The sequence below is a fragment of the Homo sapiens genome, chromosome 11 (genome assembly GCF_000001405.40).
Source record: "Homo sapiens chromosome 11, GRCh38.p14 Primary Assembly".
NCBI classification, from domain to species: Eukaryota; Metazoa; Chordata; class Mammalia; order Primates; family Hominidae; genus Homo; species Homo sapiens.
Genome location: NC_000011.10, coordinates 82,680,663 through 82,692,521, shown reverse-complemented (window position 1 = coordinate 82,692,521; position 11,859 = coordinate 82,680,663). Strand labels below are relative to the sequence as shown.

Below are 11,859 nucleotides of genomic sequence, written 5' to 3'. Positions count from 1 at the left end.
CAGGCCATTCAGGTTCATTTGACAGTGCTGGTGGCATACCCGTTAATGCAAACTAACCATTCAAACATCTAAAGATTTCTCTGGCTTGGAGACATATGACAGCCACCCTGGAGGCAGTCCAGTTCTAGTTTTGTGCACTCATACACTTGCTCCTGCTGATGTTTTCTTCAGGCCCCTGTTAGATATGCCATATGCTATGGCCTTTATGTGTTTCCCCAAATTCATGTGTTGGGCACTGAATCTCCAACTGTCTTGGGAGGTGGCACATAATGGGAGGTATTTAGATCATGACGGCTGTCATGAATGGATTCATGCTGTTATAAAAAGGCTTTACAGGAATGGGTTTGCTCTCTTCTGCCATGAAAGGATACAGTGTTCATCCCTCTTTAACCCATCTGTCCCTTCTGCAATGTGAAGACACAACAAGAAGGCTCTCACAAGATGGCAGTGCCTTGATCCTGGGCTTTCCAACCTCCAGAACTGTGAGAAAGTCAATTTTTGTTTTTGATAAATTACCCAGTCTCAGGTATTCTGTAATAGCAGCACAAAACAGACTGGAATGAGTGAACCCACACCACTTTTTCATTCATGAGTGAATGCCACTTTCACATGGTGCATGGTAACTAACACTGCTAATGGCATATGGTGATAACTATGAAAACATTTGCTGAGAATGACGTAAAAGCATAGGAGTACCATGGAGCCTGTACAGTTGTACAGTGAGATGTGTTTGGGCTGCAGAGCTGAATAGTGCAGTAAAAAGTGCCCCAGTAGAAAGATGTTGTTAACTGCTTTACACATTTATAGGTAAAGCCAGAGGACTGGGGGAGGGGGAAACCTGGTTTTCTATGTAACAAAGAAGCTTTTGGTTGAAGAACTAACCTTGAGAATCCTTCTGAGTTTAGTTAGGGGGTTTGTGAACCAACTTTGTTGTCTGTGGAAACTTTATTATTCTTCTTTCTAGTTGAACTAGTTTATTGTAAAGACTTCAGGGAATGAGGAGGAAAGGGTTGTCCCTGGCATTGGAAACCAATGGTTTGTCTTCTCTCAAAAAATTATATGCATATTCTGGTTCAGAAGTACTAAATTCCCTCCATTGGGCCACAAATTATCCCTGATTCTTACAGCTTTGGAGCTCCACTTTTTTTCTTGTTTTGTTTTTTGAGATAGAGTCTCTCTCTGTCACCCAGGCTGGAGAGCAGTGGCACAATCTTGGCTCACTGTAAGCTCTGCTTCCCAGGTTCATGCCATTTTCCAGCCTCAGCCTCCTGAGTAGCTGGGACTACAGGTGTCCGCCACCATGCCTGGCTAATTTTTTGTATTTTTAGTAGAGATGGGGTTTCACTGTGTCAGCCAGGATGGTCTCAATCTCCTGACCTCTTGATATGCCCGCCTCGGCTCCCCAAAGTGCTGAGATTACAGGCATCAGCCACCGCGCCCAGCTTGGAGCTCAACTCTTAAATCATTTCATTTTCACTGTCGGGCTATACACCACAGGATTTAAAAATCAGATTTTGGGTTTGGGTACATGCTTGGCCACCTGCTAGCTGTGTGGTCTTGGATAAACCATCAATCTTTCTGAATCTGTTTTCTCATCAGTAAAATATCTCACTCTTGGGGCTTCTGTAAAGATCAAATAAAACAACAAATGTCAATGTTCTTTGCAGACCCCAAGGCACTTTCCAAGAGTTTGCTGTGATTATTATTGCTACCTGCAAAATTCTAGGGAACCTGATGGTACATAAATGGCACTGCTTGGCATACCCTGCAGCAGCTGTTCCGGTTCTGTTTACTGCACATGGGTGAACAGTTTACTCCAAGGGAATATTTTACTCATTACAGGGTTGTAACTGCTACAAATAGCACAGGGTGCCTCCCACCTAATGTAGAACACAGGCTACGCCATCCCAAGAGCCAGCCAGATGCCAGATGCCACACTATGTGTGCAGTAGAGAGTAGCCGAACCTGCTGTCTTGTAAAAATGTAATGGCAGGTATCTAATGTGATTAAGGCTTGGAGGAACAAACCTGATTCAGTGACATGTTCTGAATCCCACTACAGATATTCTTGGACACCAAACTCCATTTTTCAGCTAATTGCCCATATGAGTTTTCCTAAATTTGGCTGCGCCTTTGATTTGCTCTTCATTTTAAGCAATATGCTGCAGTGGAATGAGCGTGTGCTTTGGAGAGACAATTTCAGGTTCAAATCCCAGCTCTGCTTATTAAAAGCTGAATGGCCTTTGGTGAGTTACTATAACTCTGTGAGCCTTGGATTTCTCACCTAAAAAATGAGGATAACAGGGCCTACCATGTAGGGTTTTTAGGATGATTAAGTAAGATAATGTATATAAGCGCCTGGTCTAGTACCAACTGAGTTGTACGTATGTGTCAACTGTCTAACAAATGGCCAATGAGCAATTTGCAACCCACCTGACCCCAGGGTTGGATCCCCTTGTGATTTGTTGTTAAGCATGTTCTAGTGCTTTTCAATCTTCAACGTGCCTACAAAGCAGCTGGAGTCCTTGTTAAAATGCAGGTCCAGATCCAGTAGGTCTGGGGTGGGGCTTGAGAGTCGGCATTTCTTTTTTTTTTTTTTTTTTTTTTTTTTTTTTTTTTTGAAACACAAACGCTTTATTTAAAGGAGCATCTCAGTTACGTGTGGCGGACAAAAAAAAGGAGCAGATTGTGACAGACCATTCCCATCGGCCAAGTGGTCGAACCCGACATCCAAGACCCAGCGAGCAGCCAAGCTCAGCGCAACCTCCGGGCTTCTCGCTCTGACTCCAAAAGGGTGAGCACGTCGCCCTCGCGCACGGGGCCTTTTACATTGCGGATGATGGATCGGCTCGTGTCGTCCATGAATTCCACGCGCACCTGCGTGCACTGTCCCTGAGAACCGGTCCTGCCCAGGACCTTGGTGACCCTGGCCAGCTTGATAGGCTGCACACGGCTGGTGTCCATGATGGCGGCGCGGCGGCGGTCTGGCGGAGCGAGATTCAGCATTTCTAACAAGCTCCCAGGTGCTGCTGCCGCCACCACTCAGGGGACATACTCTGAGTAGTGACACTCTTTAAGTGTATCTAGAATGTCTAACCCAGCTGGCCAAGAGGCCCCAACCACCTGTTTTCTACTGTTTTTGCTTAATTCAGAAGTTTGCAATCACTAGTTGTTTAACTCTGTCTGAATCAATTCTAAAAATACAGATTCCTGAATCCACCTGAGGAGATTCTATTTCTGTAGGTGAGGGGTGTGACTTAGAATCTACATTTTAAAAAGGCACCCTAGATGATCGTGATGGGAACTAGCTATATAACAACTATGGCCAGGTGTCAGGCCAGCATGTTGAGATCCATTAGTCATTATACAGTATTTGAAGCTAAACATGACTCATGTATAATCCTGAGAGTTACATCACGAAATGGGTACCATGAAGGTGCAAAATATTCATATGCCTACACATATATGAAATTTTGATCATGTGGCCACTAATAGGAAAACTTGGCTGCTCCTGACTTTCACTTTATAGATCAGCTATGTGCAGTGTTTAAGTGCTTAGACTTTGGTGTCAGATAGACCAGGGCTTACATCCTGGCTCAACATCTGAAAAGGTGTGACTTTGGATAAGTCACTTAACTGTGCAAGCAACAGTTTCCTCGTCTGTGAAATGCCGATAACATTACCTGTTTCGTAGGCTTATGGTGAGGATTATCAAGACAGACAATTCTGTTCTCAGTCTTTCTCACATCAAGTGACAGCAACTCTATCTTTCCAACTTCTCTGGCCAGAAGTCTTACAATCATCTTTGACTCCTCTTTTTCCCTTATGTCCCACATTCAACCCATTGGCAAATTCTGTTGACTTTACTTTCAAAATAAACACAGAATCCAACCACTTCTTACAACTCCTCTGCTGCCCTCTTGATTCAAGCCATTGTTGTTATTTTTGTCATGGCTTCCAAACTGATTTCCCTGCTTCTACCCTTGCCCCACCATGGTTTGTTCTCAACACATTAACCAGAGTGATTGTATTAAAAAGCAGGTGAGATCATGTCACCTCTCTGTTCAAACTCTCCAACAGCTCCCCATTTTATTCTCAGAATAAAAACCAAAATGGTGTTTACAAAGTCCTGTACAATCAGATTTCCTGTTACATCTCTGACCTCATTCCTGATTATTCTCTCTTCTTCTTCTTTTTTTTTTTTTTTTGAGATGGAGTCTTGCTCTGTCACCCAGGCTGGAGTGCAGTGGCACGATCTTGGCTCACTGCAAGCTCCTCCTGCTAGGTTCATGCCATTCTCCTGCCTCAGCCTCCTGAGTAGCTGGGACTACAGGCACGCGCCACCACGCCCGGCTAATTTTTTTTTTATTTTTAGCAGAGACTGGGTTTCACCATGTTAGCCAGGATGGTCTTGATCTCTTGACCTCGTGATCCGCCTGCCTCGGCCTCCCAAAGTGCTGGGATTACAGGCATGAGCCACTGCACCCGGTCTGCTCTCTCTCTTCTTCACCCTATTCCAGACACAAAAACATCATCAATTAAAAATTTTTTTTTTATTATACTTTAAGTTCTAGGGTACATGTGCACAACGTGCAGGTGTCTTACATATGTATACATATGCCATGTTGGTGTGCTGCACCCATTAACTCATCATTTACATTAGGTATATCTCCTAATGCTATCCCTCCCCCATCCCTCCACCCCACAACAGGTTCCAGTGTGTGAGGTTCCCCTTCCTGTGTCCAAGTTTTTGACAAACATTTCAAGAAAACTCCAACTTTTAGTTGTTTGCCCTGGACTCATTCCCTCTGCCTGAGGCGTTCTTCCCCCAGATATCTGCAAGACCAATTCCTTTCTCCTCTAAGACTTTGCTCCCCCAGACCACCCTATTTATAATTTTTCCTGTCCCATTCCTGTCCTCAGAACTTCCTTTACTCTACTTTTATTTTTTCCCCATAATTTTCTTACACACTATAATTACGTTTGCTATTCATTGTCTTGCCCCAGAAGAATGTCGGCTCCCCAAGGGCAGGGAATTGTTTTCTCTGCTGATATAATCCATGTAATCAGCATGCACCAGCATTTGTTACATAAGATGCTTAATACACATCTTTTAAAAGTAAGTGAATTATGCATGTAAAGTACTAATCACAGTGCCTGGCACACATAGACAGTATTAAGTAAGTGGTAGTTTGTATTATTTTTGAAACACCTGAAAAGATATTTCTGTCTTGGGTGTCCCAGCCTAAAGCTCTGCATAGCACATATTTACCTCTCAGTGAATCTATGCCTCACCATAGCCCTGTGAGGTGAGTGAGGCTGAGATCCCTCTGTATTCTGTCAAGGATAAGCAACAAAGCTCACAGGTGCTAAGTGATTCATACAACTAGTGTGTTATAGAACCAGGACTGAATAGATTCCAGGTCTCTCAATTCTGAGCCCAGTGCTTTTTCTACGCTGTCACGGAAATTAGAAAGGAGAGATGACTTCTTAACACCAAGTTCTTAACTTCCTCAAGTCCAGCTTATGTGTTAATCAAACATCCAAAGTGCTGGTGTGCACAGGTACCAAGATAATGTCAATAGTCTAACATGAGCCTCATTTATCTACATTACCTTGAAACAAAAGAGATCTGTAAATGTGGGAGACATTGAATTGAATGACAAGATCAATTACAAGAACTTTCACACAATGGATAAAAAAATACTGATTCCCCAGAGTTTGTAAATGTCTTGTCTCTTGCTGTTGTTTGGATAAAAGACAGTCGGTTTAGAGTAATGCCAAGCTCTACTTAAAATAAGTTATATTACAAAAAATGTACTGGAAATTTAAAAAATGAATAGAAAAACCTGCCTATAATCCCGTCACCCTTACAAATCAATAGTTGTTATTTTAATGCTCTCTTCCACACTTTGCTTGTATGCATATGGTATTTTTGCATGGCATAGACATTTTTCTTTCTAAATTTAGTATACTGTGAACTTTTTATCTTTATCTAGTGTTTAGAAATATTATATTTTACAAGTTACGTAACATACCATCTGGTTGATATACCACTGTTCATTTAACAATTCCCCTATTGTTGGTTTGTAGGTTATTTTCAGCGTTTCACTGTTTAAATGGCATTGTAATGAATGTCTTTGTAGCTTTTCCTTTAGGCATTTCCCCTCTTCCTATAACAATTCTCAAGAGTGATACTACTAGATTCAAAAAAGTCTTTTATGACTCAATAAATATGGTTCCTTTTTTGCTCCTCTTTATGGCCTTAGGTGATTTTATCAAGTAGCTAATATATATTTTATAGATGGGAAATTAGAAAACAATTGATCACTATTCCTTGCTTGTTAATTTTCTCATCAAGACACCAATCTATGATACCTGCATTCCTCAGATGATACCGTTGGAATTGTTTTATTCAGTGGGAATTTACTCAGTAAATAAGGAGGTTTCTTTTTTCAGAGATACTATTGTCTGAATGTTTGTGTCCTATGAAAATTCAGATGTTGAAATCCTGATGCCCAAGGTGATGGTATTAGGAGGCCTTTGGGAGGTAATTAGGTCATGAGTGACGAGTCCTCATGACTGGGATTAATACCCTTATAAAAGATTTGCCAGAGAGCTAGCTAGGACCTTCAATCATATGAGAATAAAGTGAGAAGGCATTGCTGTCTATGAAACAAGAGATGGCTCTCGTCAGACACCAAATTGCTGGTGCCTTGGTCTGGGACTTTCTAATCCCCAGAACTATAAGAAATAAATTTCCTTTGTTTATAAGCTAACCACTCTATGATATTTTGTTGTAATGGCCCAGACTACAAAAATACTATGTTAGGCAGGGCACGGTGGCTCATGCTTATAATCCCAGCACTTTGGGAGGCTGAGATGAGCAGATCACTTGAGGTCAGGAGTTCAAGACCAGCCTGGCCATCATCGTGAAACCCCATTTCTACTAAAAATACAAAAATTAGCCAGATATGGTGGTGTGTGCCTGTAGTCCCAGTTACTCCTGAGGCTGAGGCAGGAGAATTGCTTGAACCTAGGAGGCAGAGGTTGCAGTGAGCAGAGATCACGCCACTAAACTCCAGTTTGGGTGACAGAGCGAGACTCTGTCTCAAAAATAAATAAACAAAAATACTACGTTGTCTTCCTTCAGACATCCAAAGTTTGGTTTAGAGTCCCTTTAGTCAGCCTTTGCTTGGGAAGAGGGCTAGACTTGGAGTCAGAAAACTTGGATTTAAATCTTAGCTATGCTATTTATTAAAAACATTTTGTAAAATTCTTCATGTACCAAGGTATATTAGTTCATTCTCATACTGCTATAAAGATATTACCTCGAGATTGGGTAATTTATGAAGAAAAGAAGTTTAATTGACTCACAGTTCTGCATGGCTGGGAGGCCTCAGGAAACTTACAATCATGGTGGAAGGTGAAGGGGAAGCAAGCCATGTCTTACATGGTAGCAGGAGAAAGAGGGAGAGAGAGAGAGAAGAGGGAAGCTCCGGACAGTTATCAAACGATCACATCTTATGAGAACTTATTATCATGAGAATAGCAAGGGAGAAATTCGCCCTCATGATCCAATCACCTCCCACCAGGTCCCTCCCTCCACATACAGGGATTGCAATTGGAGAGGAGATTTGGCTGGGGACACAGAGCCAAACCATATCAAAAGGTGTTGTTATCGTTTTACTGTGGAGAAAGAAGCAAAAATCGAATGCTCCAAAATTGACTCTCAAATTCCCTAAGTGTCTTCCAAGTGTTTAAATCTCTGCTTTGGCTTTTGTGCCTAACTCACTAGAAAGGTGTATCTTGTGGTGTATGTGAGATTGTGTGTCTTCTATTGAGTTGATTGTATACAGTGGAAAAAATAGACCTGGATTTGACTCTAGTTCCATTATTTACAAACTGGATGAAAGAGGGGGAAATTTGCCCACCTCTCTGAAATGGGGATAATAACAGGATTAAGGGAGGAAATAAATGAGACAGTATATGTCAAATATCTAGTGGAGTGCTTGGCATTCAGGCACCAGTAGTGTTAGTTCTTCTGTCTGTTCCGCCTCAATGCTTTAAGAGATGTTAACAGGTATTTTCACAGAAGATTCAAGGCAGTAAGATTTTATCATCGTATCAATGTGTTTTAGTTTGGTTTCTATAAAATATTTAGGTGTTTTAAGCAGAATTTTCTTATTTCAAGGGCATATTGAATTATTTCTGGAGATAGGCTGGCTTGGTTGGCTATTTTCAGCAAGTGATAGCCAACATTTAAGCTATTTATTTCAGTATATTTGCTATACGCTGTGTCTTTCCTGTTGGTCCAGATAGAATGGATTTATTTTCAAGTCGAGATGAATGCTTAAGTCCAGGGCTCAGAGTTTGGATGCAGAAGTGTAGGCAATGGTAGTTTAAGAACATAAATACTGCCACAACTTGTCCATGAGATGGAAAGTAATAACTTCCCTCATCCACTGCAATCCTATCTAAAAAAAATCTTTGTTTTACTATCGAAAAATATAACAATTCTTTCCATTTCTGTATCACACTACACTTTGATATAATATGTTCACATGGATTACCTTAGCCAAATCTTACTCCCCTGAGGGATTCAGATTCAAAAAGCGTTTATTAATAAACACCCACTATGTGTTAAATTTGGTTATGAGGCACTTTCACACAACTTTTTTATGTAGTCTTCACTTTCAGCACTTAATGAAGGAAAAGTAATTGGAAAGCAGAACTTTTGAGAACTGGTACTCAAACCCAGATCTTAAATTCCCAGTCGAGTTGGTGCCTTTTTTCCAATAATCTTGTTCCTCAAAGAGATGATGTGATGCTGTAGAAAGAGCACCAGCTTGCATCAGGGGACTGGGGTTCTAATTTCAGTGAATGGCTCATGGTGGGCTTTTGGGGAGTCATGCACCCTCTTGGAGCTAATGAGGCATGATGACCTCTTTGGTCTCTCTGTGCCCTGACAGTTCATGTGTCTATGGAATACACTTTTATAATGGGAATAATACAGGGAATATTAATAAATTATTTTAGGCAGATAGGGAGGGTAAGGAGTCCTTGGTAAGACTTTTCCTTTTAAAATAAACAGCTCCTGAAACATTTCTTTTCTAATAGAAGAGCGGCTTGAAAAGTCAGGCCAGCAAGCTTTGATATGCAAATGCCAGCAATTAGAAGTTGGGTTCATCCAGTATGGTGATTCCCACCCTCTTCTCCTTGTCACCATGTGTGCCAGGTGTCATGGCCACCTCCAGATGACTCCATGTGTGCATGACATCATGGCAACCTGCATTGGCCTGTTAAAAGGCCAGAGTGGGAGGGCCAGGTTTCTCGCAGGCTACGTGAATGACACATCTGGTCAAACCAATCCCCTGGGCCCTATGCAAATCAGACACTGCCTCCTGCAGCCTCCCAATGTAACCGACTACTTTTCCACCGCACACAGGGTTTTTCTCCATTTGGAGCCCACCCCCCACTTCCCATACAGGGGGAGACTTTCTTCTTCTTTCTTGCCCATTAAACTTTCTGCTCCTTAAAAACCACTCCATGTGTGTCCATGTTGTTTATCTAACTGGCACAAGACAAAGGACCCTGGTGTTTCTCCATTCATTGGAGCCATATCATTTTGGTGCATTGGCCGGAAATCCAAGGTACAACATTCATTGGAGTGGTGAGTATGGAGTGAACCTCAACCTCAAATCTGTCTTTTAATCTCCAGGCTCTCTTCCAGCTATCCTGTCACCAGATTTTCATTTCTTTTCTACCTGTGACCACTATATCTATTCTCTCTGTGTATGCCATGTGCAGGAATTTTTACAGTCCAGGGAAACAGGTCTGTCAGGAAAGATCAGCAAATGTGGCAGGCAGCATAAACGTCTCTCTCTCTCTTCCTCTCTTTCTCTCTCTCTCTCTGTCTCAGGAATTTTTACAGTCCAGGGAATCAGGTCTGTCAGGAAAGATCAGCAAATGTGGCAGGCCATATAAACGTTCTCTCTCTCTCTCTCTCTCTGTCTCTCTCTCCCCACCCCGCCCCCAATCCTCTCTCTCTCTTCTCTCTCCTTTCTCTCTCTCCTCTCACTCTCCTCTCTCGTCTGGCAAACACATGGTATTTCTAACCCAACAGTGCCACCTAGTGGAAATAGAAATCCTTTTCATAAGACACATTGCTGGTGCTTTGCAGCACATTGTAGTTTCACAACTTTTCCTCGTTGCACTTTTCTACTGGAAACTAGGCTTTATGCTACTTCTGTGAATGGGAGATCTCTGCCTTCAACAGTTAGGAGTTAAGTGTTTTCCATAGCCAAATTTTAGTTTTAATATTGTCCCATCAGCAGAAAAACAGCCGTTTGGTTCCTATGTTCTTTTAAGGCACCTGTTCTGTCTCCAATTAAGACAGTACTTAATTAGTAAGAGGATTTTAAGTCTGGAAGTTAACCAGAACCATTTTTCTAAGGGTAGATGCTTTAGCATGGGCCATAATAGCAGGCAATCTAGCAAATTTCCTCCATTAAAGGAACCTTGCTTTTATATAGTCTTTCCCAAGATCCATTTTTTGGAGGGAGGCACACAGGTCACATAAGTCTAGGAGGTCAAAGGAAAATAATAGTCAGAGGACTAGGACTACTTGGGTAAGTGTATCTAGGCCTCAAAAGTCTAGTTCCTCTGGTGTCATGGCTTGGAGGGTCATGCCTGTAGCCATGGGTGGCACATTTAACAGGGTGCTGGGACCCAGGAACCAGAGAGGGAAAATAGTTGGGGGGATGCTCCCACTGTTTTCTTCTCCACCCTGGGTCACATATGGAAGGGAAGGAGACTAAAGGGACGCCTTCTCCCACTTCTCTTTCTAGATGGGTAACAGATTGTCTTCAGCATACACTCCCCTGGAGTGTATTTTAACGCACTGGCACTCTTTTGCCCCTGAGCCTTTTAAGAAAAAGTACCTTATATTCTGTTGCAGAAGGGCATGGCCTTCTTACCATGGCTTACCAAGGCTGGGGGGAACCTTGATTTTGAATATTATCCAACAGTTAGATCTTTTCTGCAGATGCAGGGGCAGATGGACTGAGGTCCCCTATGTACAGACTTTCTTTGCCCTGCAAGACAACCCAGACCTTTACAAGTTCTGTACAATCAACTCAGCTCTTTTAGTACCCATGGCAGGCAAGCCCACAGAGCTAAAGCAGATTCCAGAGGTGCAATCTGAGACTGCTACTGAATGTCTCAACCCTTCCAGTACCCCTCCAATCATACCGTCAGCTTCTCCAGCTCCAGCATCTCCAGTATTACCTACTCTCCCCTCTTCACTCTTACCTCTGCAGGAAATGCCTGATGGGAATGGTCCCATGAGGGTTCAAGTTCCCTTCTCATTACAGGACCTTAAGCAAATAAAGGGAGACTTAGGCCAATTTTCTGAAGACCCCGATACGTGTGTAGAAGCTTTCCACAATTTAACTCATGTCTGTGGTGTTTTTCCTTCTTTCATAGTTTCAAATGTCTCTTTTATAATATTCTTCCAACCTGGGAAAAGTTAATTTTCCAAACCTTAGAATGCTTGGCTTAGAGTTGAGCTAGGGAGAAGGGAAACCAGAAGCCTGACATGCTGGCAAAAGGGTAAACATTTTTTACCAGTCGGGCGTTTGGCTTCTCTCTTCCAGTGCAAACCAGTAAAAGGGATAATAAGGATTATTGTTTGTATTCTCTGTAAAGTTTTAATTAATGAAAAAGGATTTGTGAGGTTGGTCTTAAGCTGTAGCTAATCTGGTGTGCTTTGTGTGTCTTTCTGTATGGTTCTGTCAAAATAAAGGATACCTTAAATTAGAATGCAGGCCCAGGACCCCATAAGCGTACTGTTGAAGCC

At 42.2% G+C, this 11,859-nt stretch overlaps 1 pseudogene, besides 2 other annotated features; it reads right to left on the bottom strand.

Moving 5' to 3' along the window:
• RPS28P7 (ribosomal protein S28 pseudogene 7) lies at positions 2,618–2,992 on the bottom strand (annotated as a pseudogene).
• Positions 10,001–10,295: a silencer, noted in NCBI's record as "tiled region #11396; HepG2 Repressive DNase matched - State 12:CtcfO". NCBI's record gives its function as "represses a minimal TATA promoter and a strong SV40 promoter by Sharpr-MPRA in HepG2 cells {active_cell/tissue: HepG2}" and the evidence as "EXISTENCE:reporter gene assay evidence [ECO:0000049][PMID:27701403]".
• Positions 10,001–10,295: an enhancer, noted in NCBI's record as "tiled region #11396; K562 Activating DNase unmatched - State 12:CtcfO". NCBI's record gives its function as "activates a minimal TATA promoter and a strong SV40 promoter by Sharpr-MPRA in K562 cells {active_cell/tissue: K562}" and the evidence as "EXISTENCE:reporter gene assay evidence [ECO:0000049][PMID:27701403]".